This window comes from Homo sapiens, chromosome 16 (genome assembly GCF_000001405.40).
Source record: "Homo sapiens chromosome 16, GRCh38.p14 Primary Assembly".
NCBI lineage: Eukaryota > Metazoa > Chordata > Mammalia > Primates > Hominidae > Homo > Homo sapiens.
The window spans coordinates 59,083,334-59,099,784 of record NC_000016.10 but is presented as its reverse complement, the minus strand read 5'-3'; the positions used below and the strand labels follow the sequence as shown (position 1 = coordinate 59,099,784).

The window sequence follows — 16,451 nt, the reverse complement described above, 5'->3', positions numbered from 1 at the left end:
TAGATTTTCTAGTTTATTTTCATAGAGGTGTTTATAGTATTCTCTGATGGTAGTTTGTATTTCTGTAGGATCGGTGGTGATATCGCCTTTATCATTTTTTATTGTGTCTATTTGATTCTTCTCTCTTTTCTTATTAGTCTTGCTAGCTGTCTATCAATTTTGTTGATCTTTTCAAAAATCCAGCTCCTGGATTCATTGATTTTTTGAAGGGTTTTTTGTGTCTCTATTTCCTTCAGTTCTGCTCTTAGTTATTTCTTGCCTTCTGCTAGCTTTTGAATGTGTTTGCTCTTGCTTCTCTAGTTCTTTTAATTGTGATGTTAGGGTGTCAATTTTAGACCTTTCCTGCTTTCTCTTGTGGGCATTTAGTGCTATAAATTTCCCTCTACACACTGCTTTGAATGTGTCCCAGAGATTCTGGTATGTTGTGTCTTTGTTCTCATTGGTTTCAAAGAACATCTTTATTTCTGCCTTCATGTCGTTATGTACCCAATAGTCATTCAGGAGCAGGTTGTTCAGTTTCCATGTAGTTGAGTGGTTTTGAGTGAGTTTCTTAATCCTGAGTTCTAGTTTGATTGCACTGTGGTCTGAGAGACAGTTTGTTATAATTTCTGTTCTTTTACATTTGCTGAGGAGCGCTTTACTTCCAACTATGTGGTCAATTTTGGAATAGGTGTGGTGTGGTGCTGAAAAGAATGTATATTCTGTTGATTTGGGGTGGAGAGTTCTGTAGATGTCTATTAGGTCCGCTTGGTGCAGAGCTGAGTTCAATTCCTGGATATGCTTGTTAACTTTCTGTCTCGTTGATCTGTCTAATGTTGACAGTGGGGTGTTAAAGTCTCCCATTATTATTGTGTGGGAGTCTAAGTCTCTTCGTAGGTCTCTAAGGACTTGCTTTACGAATCCGGGTGCTCCTGTATTGGGTGCATATACATTTAGGATAGTTAGCTCTTCTTGTTGAATTGATCCCTTTACCATTATGTAATGGCCTTCTTTGTCTCTTTTGATCTTCGTTGGTTTAAAGTCTGTTTTATCAGAGACTAGGACTGCAACCCCTGCCTTTTTTTGTTTTCCATTTGCTTGGTAGATCTTCCTCCATCCCTTTATTTTGAGCCTATGTGTGTCTCTGCACATGAGATGGGTTTCCTGAATACAGCACACTGATGGGTCTTGACTCTTTATCCAATTTGCCAGTCTGTGCCTTTTAATTGGAGCATTTAGCCCATTTACATTTAAGGTTAATATTCTTATGTGTGAATTTGAACCTGTCATTAGGATGTTAGCTGGTTATTTTGCTCGTTAGTTGATACAGTTTTTTCCTAGCCTTGATGGTCTTTACAATTTGGCATGTTTTTGCAGTGGCTGGTACAGGTTGTTCCTTTCCATGTTTAGTGCTTCCTTTAGGAGCTCTTCTAGGGCAGGCCTGGTGGTGACAAAATCTCTCAGCATTTGCTTGTCTGTAAAGGATTTTATTTCTCCTTCACTTATGAAGCTTAGTTTGGCTGGATATGAAATTCTGGGTTGAAAATTCTTTAAGAATGTTGAATATTGGCCCCCACTCTCTTCTGGCTTGTAGAGTTTCTGCCGAGAGATCAGCTGTTATTCTGATGGGCTTCCCCTTGTGGGTAACCCGACCTTTCTCTCTGGCTGCCCTTAACATTTTTTCCTTCATTTCAACTTTGGTGAATCTGACAATTATGTGTCTTGGAGTTGCTCTTCTCGAGGAGTATCTTTGTGGCGTTCTCTGTATTTCCTGAATTTGAATGTTGGCCTGCCTTGCTAGATTGGGGAAGTTCTCCTGGATAATATCCTGCAGAGTGATTTCCAACTTGGTTCCATTCTCCCCGTCACTTTCAGGTACACCAATCAGATGTAGATTTGGTCTTTTCACATAGTCCCATATTTCTTGGCGGCTTCGTTCATTTCTTTTTATTCTTTTTTCTCTAAACTCTTCTCGTTTCATTTTATTCATTTGATCTTCCATCACTGATACCCTTTCTTCCAGTTGATCGAATTGGCTACTGAGGCTTGGCATTTGTCACGTAGTTCTCATGCCATGGTTTTCAGCTCCATCAGGTCCTTTAAGGACTTCCCTGCATTGGTTATTCTAGTTAGCCATTCATCTAATTTTTTTTCAAGGTTTTTAACTTCTTTGCCATGGGTTCAAACTTCCTCCTTTAGCTTGGAGTAGTTTAATCGTCTGAAGCCTTCTTCTCTCCATTCGTCAAAGTCATTCTCCGTCCAGCTTTGTTACATTGCTGGTGAGGAGCTGCATTCCTTTGGAGGAGGAGAGGCGCTCTGATTTTTAGAGTTTTCAGTTTTTCTGCTCTGTTTTTTTCCTATCTTTGTGGTTTTAACTACCTTTGGTCTTTGATGATGGTGACGTACCGATGGGGTTTTGGTGTGGATGTCCTTTCTGTTTGTTAGTTTTCCTGCTAACAGACAGGACCCTCAGCTGCAGGTCTGTTGGAGTTTGCTGGAGGTCCACTCCAGACCGTTTGCTTGGGTGTCAGCAGCAGAGGCTGCAGAACAGCAGATAGTGGTGAACAGCAAATGTTGCTGCCTAATCGTTCCTCTGGAAGTATTGTCTCAGAGGAGTACCCAGCTGTGTGAGGTGTCAGATTGCCCCTACTGGGGGATGCCTCCCAGTTAGGCTACTCGGGGGTCAGGGACCCACTTGAGGAGGGAGTCTGTCCATTCTCAGATCTCAAGCTGCATGCTGGGAGAACCAGTACTCTCTTCAAAGCTGTCAGACAGGGACATTTAAGTCTGCAGAGGTTTCTGCTGCCTTCTGTTTAGCTATGCCCTGCCCCAAGAGGTGGAGTCCACAGAGGCAGGCAGGCCTCCTTGAGCTGCAGTGGGCTCCACCCAGTTCGAGCTTCCAGCTGCTTTGTTTACCTACTCAAGCCTCGGCAATGGCGGGCGCCCCTCCTCCAGCCTCACTGCCTCCTTGCAGTTTGATCTCAGACTGCTGTGCTAGCAATGAGCAAGGCTCTATGGGCGTAGGACCTTCTGAGCCAGGCGCGAGATATAATCTCCTGGTGTGCCGTTTGCTAAGACCATTGGAAAAGCGCAGTATTAGGGTGGGAGTGACCCAATTTTCCAGGTGCCGTCTGTCACCCCTTTCTTTGACTAGGAAAGGGAATTCCCTGATCCCTTGTGCTTCCCAGGTGAGGCAATGCCTCGCCCTGCTTTGGCTCATGCTCGGTGCACTGTGCCCACTGCCCTGCACCCCCTGTCCGACACTCCCCAGTGAGATGAACCCAGTACCTCAGTTGAAAATGCAGAAATCACCCGTCTTCTGCGTCGCTCATGCTGGGAGCTGTAGACTGGAGCTGTTCCTATTTGGCCATCTTGGCTCCACCCCCTGTGATCTTTAAATAACTGAGTCTAGTAACAGGCTATATTCAAATAATTAACTTTGTTATTTTCAAATATAATTTTTGCCACCAAAGTATGAAGATTGACTTAGGCTGCTCTTCAATCATGTTAGCCCCTTTTGGCATTGGGTTCTTTTTGCCATTGGATTTTTTTTTTTTTTTTTTTGCCTGTACCCTAGAACAGAGACCATTGTTCTTGACTGGCAAGTCCATGCTACCCTTGTCAATATTCATCATCCTAATACATATTCCCTTGAGTATATGTTCTCTGTTAATTCAGAAACATGGGAAGTTTAAAGGAATTAACTAAACAGTAATATTCATAAAGACAGAGATTGTGTTTTCTTATTTTATTGTTGGGAAATAATGGGTATTTCAATAAATTTGGGGTGCAAAACCTAATGTCTGCTTTGTTCTCAACACTCTACTAGAAGGTGACCATGTGTTTTCTTGGTTAATCCTCCAAGATGCACTGATATTGAAATACGAAGACAAACTTACACAGAGTAAACTGAGGTTCATAGATATTTATTTTCTGTGTGTGTATTTTTTCTTTTATTTGTATTAACAAACACATAGGGACAGAGATATTTATTGATTTGCCAACATGTCATATACAATAAAAGATTGAGTTGGTGTTTATTTCATATGTATATATGGTCCCAAAATTCCTGTGCTATCTACTTTAGCATCATCTCTTCCTACATGAAATTGAGTTTATCACAAGATTTTAAAATGTATTAATAATGCATTAGTAAAATTTTTTATGAGCTTCTGTCAGAGAATAATGATAATGGGTTGGGCATCTCCACTTAAAAGATGAAGTAATTATAATAATAAAGAACATCTATAATAATAATAATAATCATCATCATCAATATTCTCAGCTTCTGTATAGTTCCTACAGCTTATACAAACTTTAGACATTTTTTCAGAAATATTAAAACCAGGACCTGTTCTTAAAAATTTGCCCTGTGTCACATGACTATTCTCTGTGATTCTGAAAGCCCTCCATAAGCAGTTCTTTATCCCCTAAAAAGTGCTGGCATTGTTGAAAAGGAAGGTACCTAGGCTGGACATCATTTGAGTTTTCTGTGAAACCGAAGAAGTAACTTTCTCTGAATTGTCCCCCTCAGTTTCACTCCCCTCTGACAGCCCAGTGACATGAGCTTCAGGGCAGCCCATGTGTTTCACTAAAGACTGATAATAAGTAAGCTTGAAAATGGCAGCAGATATTAGTACCACTTACTTCCTCAACATTGGATTGGATAAAGTACTTCCCCAGCAAATTCATTTTATAATTTTATTTCTTTTCATACTTATAGATTTCAATGGAACCATAAAATATTAATTCTGGAAAATGCTTATGAAATGGATCTAGCCTTGCCTAACCATTTTGCAGATGAAGAATCTGAGATACAAGAATTGACTTGCCCAACAAAAAGGCAAGATTAAGTCAAGATTATTGGAAAAGTCAAGATTCAGAATAAAGTTTCCTTCCTTCCTCCCTCCTTGTGTTTCTTCTGCAATAATTAGTTGAGTGCCTGTCAAATCAATGTAGGATTAAAGGCAAGAAACTAATTCTTTTCCTACATATCTGCATGTTTGGGAGGTGTCAGAGAGTAGGGACATGTGTGTCCCATTGTCCTTGTCACTAAAGATACAAAAGTTGGCCCTCCAAGAATTCACTGTCTATTGGGAAAACAAAATTGTAAATACATAATCTTACTCTCTCACTCACACACATACACACACACACCAGTGATAGTATCGTGATATTTTCAAGATAGAGTATTGCATTTGAGCCAAATCAGCTTGTTGGTGCTGTTTCTTAGTCTACAGCTTGTTTCTCTCTCCAGTTTGCTTCTTATCACCCTGTCAATTGCATACCTCCTAAGAGACCCAAGCAGATGACACTGTAACCTACAGCAGACCTTAGGGACCAGCTGCCTTAGCTGGGACTCTGACACTTTTCCTTCCATTAACCCTGACTGAATACTCAAGACGGAACGTTTTGGTTTACAATTCCCCGAACACCTCTTGAGTTCAGCTTGCCTCAAAGTACAACCATACATCAGAATTACATTTCTTCCAGTTTCAGTGCCCTATGTTCTGGTGAGTTCTAGGGGATTTCTGTTTCAATAACCAGACCTTATTCTTCAAAGCCACCATTTAAAATATTCAGAAAGTTCTGTTTGTTTTTTAACTCAGTGAAAGAGATTAGACAGAAATGGTTTTCCACTTTAGCAGAAGCTAGTCTGGAAACTGAATTGTAAATAGTACAATTGGTGAGTACAGAACTTTTGTAAGCTAGTCTGGAAACTGAATTTTAAATAGTACAATTGGTGAGTACAGAACTTTTGTTTAAGGGAAAGCTAATTCACCCGTATCATTCAACATTTATAGCTGATATGGGCCACTGACATACATTTTATATTTTGCAAATGGTTCAGGGGAGGAGATTATGTAGAAGTTTGATCAACATGTTCTTTCCTCCTCAAAATAAAAAACTCATAATACTGAAAAGTAACAAGAGAAAGATTTTAGAATGAGCAGGTATACACAAGGTTAAACTAGCCATTGGCCAATATTTTTAAAGAAGTAATGGACATGGTGGGACAATAATGATCAATCACAAAACTCATTAAATATACACAAAATATAATATATATCACATAACACATACTATCTGATGCAATCCTCACATTCTGACTACTGTGCACACTTGGACCATTTATTTCCATGAAGAATTAGATTCCATGAAGTTTTCATCATTCACATTTTAAGTTACATATAAGCTCTAGTTTCTGAAATGCTCAACATATGAAAAGGTTTATGCCACATCTAATGATATCCACTTACATCCAAAAACAAAGTTTTCTGGCTTAAATTATAAAAATGCTTTTATTTCTTGGCAGAAGAGAAACAAACAGAAAAACATATATGGTATTTCTAATTATAATGTGCTTTTTCCATGTACTAACCATTTCATAACATTCTTCAATGAGACTAATTATTGTTGAAATGGTTGGACATTTTAGAAGACTTGTGTTAGGTAATATGCAAAAAAGAAACCCTCAGTATTTCTTCTGAATCATTTAATCATTTATTCTGTGCATATATACCTAGCAACCGTTTTATTCCATTCCTATGGAACTGCTAAGAATGCCAAGGTAAGACATCCTCTCTTTGGAGCCAATGATTGTAAAGGAGAGACAGGCATACAAACAAATAATTAGATGTTGTTACCTGAATAAAAATATTGGGACAGACAAACTAACATAAGATTACAAAATAAAAAAACAAATGGTTCTGCTTTGTGGGGAGTCTGAGAAGGCTGATGGAAGAGGTGACATTTGGACACTAAATAGGAGCATTTCAGGGGCATGATGTAGGGGAGGACATGGAGAGGCAGGTGCAATGTGGGGAGACAGGGGGATCACAGTAGATTTAATGATCCACAAGGTGCCTAATTATGAGTGAAAGGGGAAGTAGAAGGGAAGGAGTCAAGGGATAAAGCTAATGCCATTTCTACTTTTACATACCAGTCAGTACCTATTGCATATCTGCAGGTCTTCAGGGAAAACAACCAGTCTTAAAAATTAAAATTAAACTGTTACTACTTATGGTACCCATGATTGCCACTGCCAAACTGGAAAAGATTTCCAGATTTTCCTTCTCCTTGTCTTCATTATAATTTTTCTTCTCCTGTCGTTCCCCTCTCCCAACAGAAGCCCCCACATCCCTTCCACAGTGCTTGGTATGCAGATGGACGGCTGAATGTGATGAAAAATTATTCAAACAGCATACCACAAGCTAACTATTTCAAGCGTATCTATTGACTGAAGAGATTTGCATTATGAACTAAGTCATTGCAACAAGACAATGGTAAATAGCAGCCAAAACAAAGAAATAGATCATTTAAATAAAGGAAAAGAGCTAACACCAACGTGTATCCATTTCTCCTCAGTTGAAATTTACCCTAGCGGAACTAATATGAAAATATTACTTTCATTGTTTAAAAGAAATTCATTGGAATGAAATGCTAATGTTGTATCTCCAATAGTGAATTGGATGAATGAGAAATGCATTCAACTGCAATATATCCAGTTTTTGCTGTATACATATTGTAAAGTTCTACAGATATAAAAATTAACGCTGGGCGCGGTGGCTCACGCCTGTAATCTCAGCACTTTGGGAGGTCAAGACAGGTGGATCATGAGGTCAAGAATTCGAGACCAGTCTGGCCAACATGGTGAAACCCCATCTCTACTAAGAATACAAAAATTAGCTAGGCATGGTGGCACGTGCCTGTAATCCCAGCTACTCAGCAGGTTGAGGCAGGAGAATCGCTTGAACCTGGGAGGCGGAGGTTGCAGCGAGCTGAAATGGCACCACTGCACTCCAGCCTGGGCGACAGAGCAAGACTCCATCTGGAAAAAAAAAAAATTAACAAGGCATAGTCATTGCACTCAAGGATGTAACAGTTCATTAAGGGAGAAGGACACAAATAAGTAGCTGCAATGCAAAGTGGTAACATGTACAAAGGATGGCTACACAAAATATCATGGGAGAATGGAAGAGAAAGAAATGGTCCTACCATGTTCAGTTGATATTTGGGGGACAGTTAACAATAAAAACTTAAAAGGTGATATTCAAGCCAGAAGATTAGTAAATAGAAATGTTAATGGGGACACTGCAGATGACCTGGGAGACAGAGTGGCCTCTCAGAAAGAGAAAATAATGTAGAAAGTCTCAGGAACAGGAAATAATATGATCATAGCAATTATTCTATACAGAGAAGGAAAAGAGGTATCAGTGGGGTCTAATGGAAAGAAGTTGGGTTATAGTAGACCAGTAATCAGAGTTTAAGCTGAAAAAATTGAATGGAACCAGTTTATAAAGAGCCTGCTTGCCACCCTGTGAAAACTGCATTGTATTAGGTAGCTAAGGAGAATGCTTTAAATTATCAGACGTGCTTTTGAAGAAGAGAAAAGTCAGGGCAGACTGAGATGAAGGGATTTTAGTTAGGAAACACCTAGGAAGATCCTATTTAGTAATTCAGGGTGGGAGATGATGTAACCCAAATCAGGATTTATACTGACTGGGGTAATTTTTTTATCATTTAATCAGAAGATAACAACTATAGAGCATTTAATAATGATATGGTGCTAAGCCTTTCTCCTAGCTTAAAGCACTTTTTAAACATAGAAACAGTAAGAAACTCTATAAGAACAGAGATCTTGCTTTCAGGAATTGCAGGAATTCCACTATACCCTTAAGACCTTGAATATTGCCTGGCAAATCACAGGTGTTTAATAGTATCTGGTAAATAAGTCAAGGGAGTGATGGACAGATGGATGGATGGATGGATGGATGGATGGATGGATGGATGGATGAAATTTTATTTGGCTTCTGACTTACATCAGGTTTGCTAGGAACTAGACTTTAAGGTGGAGATTCAAGTGCAGGAGGTGTATTAGAAAGCAGTTAGAGGAACAAGGACTGGACAGAGGGAGAAGATAACCCATAGAGAAGCCCCAGCCAACTCTAGGGGGATCTCTGCATGGCTCTCTAGAGCTATACTGTTTCTTTCATACCCTAATCAACTAGTCACTGGATAAGGGCCACCCACTTGGTTAAAGGAAATTCCTAGAGAGAGGCTCAGCTCTGAGCTGTTAGCAGCCAACCCTCCCAGAAGCTGGAGAAATACATGCCTCATGTTTAACGGGAAAGTGCATTTCATGGTTCCTGGCACATTGCAAGCATTCACTAAATGATTCAATCTTGGTGTTATTAAGCTCTTGAATTACAAGAGGGATTCCCTATTTTCTCCAAATTAGTCTCCAATAAGTTATTTCTGGAAAGTAAACTTTCCAAGTTTCAGTTATCTGAAGTTCAAAGTTTTGAGGGGCCAGGAACTCAGACTTTCCTCTATACAGTCAAATGCAGAATATCTTCTAAAGAGTGAACATAAAATAAGTAGAAATTAATGGTAACAGAGAAAGGGTTAATTCCCTGGATAAACACGGCCGTCCTCTTCACGCATGGCTGGGGAGCAAGAAGATGTATGTCCACACTCCCAGTCTGACTTTGGAGATAAAAAACACTGACCAGACCTGTGAGTTCAGAAAAGTTGCTTCATCTCTCAGAACCTAAGTTTCTTCACTGACGGTAAGACCTTCCTCGGAAGATTGACTTGAAGTGTTTATGACAGAGCATCCCGAAGTTAAGAGCCAAGCAAACTGTAATGGGGCACTGAATATTTAAGGGTTTCAAATTCCAAATGGCAGCTTCCTTTATTTGTTCTTTGTCTCTATTTAGTTTCCAAGAGACCTGGTCCCAGTTCTAGTACTCAACTACTCTTCCCACTGAGTTATATGGGATTATACCCCTAGTAGTTCACAACCAAACAAATAAAATATCATGAAATCTCTTTACCTTGTAATAAAGAGGAAGAGTTTTTCAATTCAACAAAAAAAGATATAAATATTGTATACATTTATTACCTAGAGTGAAATCATGTGCCATTTTATTGGTGTTGCCATGTTAACTTTCTTGGATCCTAACTTTGTGTACTGTCACAAAGTCATACTAATATTAGTGCAGCGCCTAAGGGCAGAAGTTACAGCATCAGACAACCAACATTCAAAACCTAGCTCTGCCACATTGCTAGCTATGCAATGAATTAGTTAAGACCCTTAAGCCTCAGTTACTTTTTTTGCAAAATATGTATGAATCATAGAATCTAATTCATAAGATTATGTGATGAAGAAATAAGATAATGCATGTAAAGTCCTTAGTGCAGTGCCTAGTGTTGAATAACTCTTCTTAATAATAGCAGCCATCATTTTTTGACCACTGTATGAGTCTGTTAAGGCTGCCATACAGAATACCATGAACTGGGCGGCTTAAACAACAGAAATTCACTGTCTCACAGTTCTGAAGGCTACGAGTCCAAGATCCAGGTGTCAGTAGGTTTGGATTCTCCTGAAGCCTCTCTCCTTGGCTTGCAGATGGCTGCCTTCTCACTGCGTCCTCACATGGACTTTCCTCCTTTTGTGCACATCCATACTAGAAGCAGGACCCACCCTACCTGCCTCGTTTTAACTTAATTGCCTCTGTAAAGGTGACATTTCTTTTTTTTCCCCATAACCAAAACTTTATTGAAAGCCTGACATCAAAATGGGAGATCACTGTTGTATACCTTACAAAACCAAATGTAATTACATTATCTTGGTAGATTAATTCAAATTATGGAACTTACGATAAGGCTTTCTGAAAGATAACACGAATTCAGGAAGCTGTGTGGATCATTAGTGTTGCTTTCCTCTAAATGAATACCCTTCTGTGAGGCTGGCCTTTCCTCCTGTAGGCTGGCACAACACTGTTAAACAACCTACACAAAGAACCACTCTCTGAGCATGGCTGAAAACCGTGGTAATCTTGTAGCAACCTGGACATTTTACATGCATATAGTAAGAATGTGGACTTTGCACTAGCCGTTTCTTTTTATGTTTTTTCTTTTCCTCTTCCAAGGACGGAGGTAGTAAATCTCTAGCCAAAGTCATCCTCTAGCAAGTCTAGCCCTTCTAGACCTCTCAGCCAACACCGCTAGCGAGCTGCACGCGATCTGCGCTCGGCATCCGATATTTCCAACTATGGTTACATTCTGAGATACTATGGGTTGGGACTTCAACATACGGATTTTGTAGGGGACACAGTTCAACCCATAACAACTACTCACCATTTGTTTTCTATTATGTGTCAAGTGTAATGCCAGAACCACTTTCTTCTGGATGTGCCCCAAGTGTGTTCTTGGCATTACCTCATAAACTGTTTTACCCTTTAACTCAACTCCTGCTCAACAAGCAGCTTGCCTTGTGTTATTTTTCAACATAGAAATAGAAGTTTTTTCTAATAATCTTATGTACAAAATGTATATCATTGTAAAATGCTCAGACAATATAAACATCTGTAAAGATAAAAAGAAGCCTATGTATAGCCCCACTACAAAGAAACAACCGCAGTTTTGATATTTGTAGATGGCCAGGTATTTTTTCTTCTTCTTTTCTCACATAAACAAACTTATTGTTTCTCAAAGGTGGAATTATACTCTGCTTCTGCCCATATTTTACATTTAAAATACTTTAGACACCATTTATGTCAAAAAGCATAAATCTACCTCACAAATTTAGTACTAAATAATATTTTGTAGTAACTCTGTTTTCCAACGTTAACTTGTTGACAACTTTTTTGCTATTACAAAAAAAGCAGTTCAATGAACATCCCTGTTGAAGCATCTTTGCCCTGATCATTTCTTTCATGTACTTTTCAAAATAAAAGCATTAAAAAAAAACTTGGATTGGTTGATACGTATTTCAAGATTGCCCTCCAGAAAGATGTTCCAATGATGCTCCTTTTAAGTGCTAACTGGTTAATGTAATTGCCAGGAAACATGCTGATTTTGCATCAAACCTCTTCTACCCCCTGCCTCACCCAAGCCATAACTATCCCTTGAGAAGCCATATCATACTAATTGAACCAATATAACATGGCCCTTTCCCCTCAGAGTGACAAGGCTAAAACAGATTACACAATTTGCAAGTAGCACATGGAAACATATATCCAAGTGCTAAATTGCATGTAGTACAGATGCTAAGCACCCTGGGAGGCTCGGCTTATTTCCTTCTTTTTTTAGTCCCCACACAGGGTTGAAATGAAACACATCCACGTGCAGTAATGTGTCTAATGTGTTTTTCTAAAAGAATACTTAATCTTCTGGTTCAACTTTAGAGAAACTAAAGCAAAAACAGCCTCACAACCCACTTCTCTACCTTCACCTGCTACCATTCTTACTCACTAAACTCCAGCCATGCTAATTTTCTTTATGTTTCTCCAGCACCAAGCTCATGCCTGATCAAGAGCCCTTCTACTTGTTGCTCCCTCTGCTTCAAATGCTCTTCCCCAATGTCATCCCCAATGGCTTCCTCTCCCTATTCAGGTCTCAGTGTCATTCATCTCACTCATGACATCCTCAGAAAGGCCTTCACTGACAACCCAATTAATAGCACCTTCACCCTACCCCTTTAACCTACTACTGCATTGCTCTTTCTTTTCTTCTTAGTATATACCATGGGTAAGAATTGTCTCATTTATTTTGTGCTTATTTCATATTGGCCTATACACACTAGAACATAAGCTCTATGGGGACAGTAACTTGGCTGATTCATCCATCACTATATAGAATACAATACTCCTATCTGGCATGAACCATATTTCATAGACTTAAAATAAATTTTTTCACATTTAAACATCAAGGTATATGTCTTATGCTTAGTATCATTTAGATAGCAATCAATGCATAATTGACATTGCCTACACATGCACAAACTTGGTCATCATTACCGACATTGTCATCTCTTCAATGGAGTCTGTATAGTGTTGAAACTACATGTGTAGAGTTTAATTGCCATATAAAATACCCTTGAAATTGATTACATAAAATATCTTTGATTTTGATGATTGAGCTTTGAATTTAAATGTTGGACACCTAGAAAGTAATAGACACATAACACCAGAAACAGAACGTAAGTTTAACATTAGTCAGGCTAATACTTGTAGGAAGAGGAACGATCATATCTCCAATATTGCCTTGTAAAACAAAAAGAAGTGCAGGATGGAGCATATGAAATGAAGACATATCCAAGTAGATTATGCTGTGTTACATTTTGTTACATTTTGCACGTATCCTTCCATGTATCTTGCTAAGATACATGGAAAAGCTTTGTCCATTATGTGCCAAGCAAAAGATTTTTAAAATCCTAAACATTTAAGTACCTGATAATAGAGGTTAACAATATATGAAGCAAAAAAAAGAGACAGGACTGCAAGTAGAAGTAGACAACCACAATTATAGCCAGCTATAATTGATAGAAAAAGTAGACAGAATATCATTAAGGATGGAAGACTTGAAAATTATAAACAAATGTCTTGACCTAATTGACATTTTTAGGACGCTCCTCCCAACAACAGCAAAATACACGTTTTTTTCAAGTGCATATGAAACATTTACAAAGACAGATTATACTCTGGGTCATAACATAAGTCTCAATAAATGTGAAAGAATTCAGGTCAGATAAAGTATGTTCTCTGAACACAATGAAATTAAAATAAAATCAACAACAGAAATATCTCTGGAAAAATCTAAAAATATGTAGAAATAAAATAACATCCTCATAAATAACCCATGTCAAAGAAGAAACTAATAAAAATTATAAATTGTTTTAATTCAATGAAAATAAAATCACAACATATCAAACTTTGAGGAATGCTTCTAAAGCAGTAATTGGGACAAAATTTATAGCACTGAAGACCTATTTCAAAAATAAAGAGCAGGAGGAGCAGAAGAAGGAAGCCTCAAATGAATTATCTTAGCATCTATTTTGAAAAATTAGAACAGCAAATTAAACTGAAACGTAGAAGAAGAAATAATGAAGATGAAAGTGGAAGTAAATGAAATAGAAACAGAAAAATAAGAGAAAAACAATGAGACCAAAATCTGGTTCTTTATATTTTCCAAAAATATTGATAAACTTCTAGCCAGACATTTTACACACACACACACACACACACACACACACACACATACACACACGCACACGTGCAAGAAAGAGAGCGAGACAGAGAACAAATTATTAATATTATCAGTCTCAGGAATGAGAGAAGTGAAATCACTACAGATTCTATAGATAAGGAAATATCATAAACAACTTTATGCTAATAAATGCAATAACTTAGATGAAATGGACAAATTCTTTGAAAGACACAAACTACCAAAGCTCACTCAAGAAGAAATCGACAACCTATATAGACCCATATCAATTAGATAGTTTTTAGAGTTAAAAGCTTTTCCAAAAACAAAATTCCAAGCCCAGATAACTTCACTGTTGAAGTCTGCCAAACACTTAACAAATAAATAGTATTCTACACAAACTCTTGGAGAAATGTGAAACCTGAAGAAATAGTTTACAACCCATTCACGACACAAGAATTATTCTGGTACAAAAAATCAAAGATGTTGTAAGAAAAGAAAACTACAGATGAATAACTCTTATGATCACGGATATAAAAATTCTAAGAAAATTTTTAGCAAAATGATTTCAACGTTTTACAATAATGATAATACATCATGATCAACTTGAGTGTATCTCAGGAATGCACAGTTGGTTCAGCACTCAAACATTAATGTAATTCACCTTCATGTTCTAACATTGAAAACAAACTATATTATCATCTCAGTAGATACAGAAAGTACATTTGACAAAATCCAACATTATTCCTGATAAAAACTTAGCCAAATACAGGTAGAAGAAAACTTCCTCAACTCAATAAAAGGCAGCTACATAAAACAAACAGCTAACATCAAAAGTATTGATAAAAGACAGAATGTTTTCCCTGAGAATAGAAACAAAGCAAGGATGTCAATTCTGACCAGTTACATTCAACATTATACTGGAGATTCTGGCAAGGGCAATAAGGTAAGAAAAATAACTAAAGGGCATTCAGTTTGGAAAAAAAAGGAGTAAAGATGTCGGTTTCACAGATGACATGATTGTCTATGTAAAAAACACAAAACACAATGGAATGTACAATAAAGCAACTAGAACTAATACATGAATTTAGAAAAGCTGCAGGATACAAAATTAACACACAAAAATAAATTATATTTCAACTTTCCAGAAAAAGAAAAATTAGAAGTTGAAATTTTTTAATATGTCATTTACAATAGCACCAAAAGTATGAAATTACTAGGAATAAATAGGATAAAATATATGCAAGACATGAACACATAAAACTAAAAGATAATGTTAACAGAAACTGAGAAAATCCTAAATAAATGAAAAGATGTACCATGCTTATGAATCAGAAGACGTAATATTGTAAAACTGTCCATTTTTCCCAAACTGATCTATAAATTCAATCAAATCATGATCAAAATCCAAGCAGGCTTTTTTTTGTAGAAATAATCAAACTGATTCTAACAACTCATATGGAAAGGCAGAGTACCTAGAATACCCAAATGAACTTGAAAAAGAAGACCAAAATTGAAGGATGAATACTACCTGATTTAAAGACTCACTAAAAGCTTCGGTAATCAAGAATGTAAGACATTGCCATAAAGATAAACAAGAAGATCACTGTAATAGAATACAGAGAGTCTAGAAAGAGGCCCAAACATATATGGACACTTGATTTTCAATAAAGACACAAAGACAATTCAGTGGAGCAAGGAAAATGTTTTAAACAAATGCTGCTGCAACGATGCAGAACAGAACTTTGATCCACAGCTCACACCACATATGTTAACTCAAAATGGGTCACAGACCTAAATGTAAAAACTAAAAAAACTTTCAGAAGAAAACCACAGCAGAAAGCCTTTTTGACTTCGGTTAGGCAAATACTTCTCAGATATGTCACCAAAATCATGATTTACAAAAGAACAAATTGATAAATTGGACCTCATCAAAATTTAAAATTTCTCCTTGACAGACATCCTTAAGACAATGAAAAGACAAGCAACAGACATGTAGAAAACGTTTGCAAAGCATATATTTGAAAAAGGACTTGTTTTCAGAATATGTAAAGAACCCTCAAAATTCAGCAATAAGAAACGAAAAAACTCAGTTTTTAAAAAGGTGGAGGACAGAAGATTTAAACAGATACTTAAACAAAAAAAAAATGAGTGACAAGAAAGCATATGAAACAATATTCAGTATTAGTCATTAGGAAAATGCAAATTAAACCACAACCATATACCACTATGCACCCATTAAAGCAGCTAAAAAAAAAAAAAAGTAAGTAAGCATATGAAGTATTGGCAAGAATATGGCAGTACTACAACTCCTGTATCCTGCTAACGATAACGGAAAATGGTAGAACTGCTCTGGAAACTGTCTGGAAGCTTCTGTAAAAGTTGAAGATGTGGCCGGGCGTGGTGGCTCATGCCTGTAACCCCAGTACTTTGGGAGGCCGAGGCTGGTGGATTACGAAGTCAGGAGTTCAAGACCACCC

The 16,451-nt window shown here is 37.6% G+C and overlaps 1 pseudogene, besides 2 other annotated features; it reads right to left on the bottom strand.

Moving 5' to 3' along the window:
* Nucleotides 2,462–2,962: an enhancer, noted in NCBI's record as "H3K4me1 hESC enhancer chr16:59130727-59131227 (GRCh37/hg19 assembly coordinates)". NCBI's record gives its function as "activates a minimal SCP1, AML or CMV promoter by ChIP-STARR-seq in primed H9 embryonic stem cells {active_cell/tissue: H9 hESC(primed)}" and the evidence as "EXISTENCE:reporter gene assay evidence [ECO:0000049][PMID:30033119]".
* Nucleotides 2,963–3,463: an enhancer, noted in NCBI's record as "H3K4me1 hESC enhancer chr16:59130226-59130726 (GRCh37/hg19 assembly coordinates)". NCBI's record gives its function as "activates a minimal SCP1, AML or CMV promoter by ChIP-STARR-seq in primed H9 embryonic stem cells {active_cell/tissue: H9 hESC(primed)}" and the evidence as "EXISTENCE:reporter gene assay evidence [ECO:0000049][PMID:30033119]".
* Nucleotides 10,694–10,948, bottom strand: RPS27P27 (ribosomal protein S27 pseudogene 27; annotated as a pseudogene).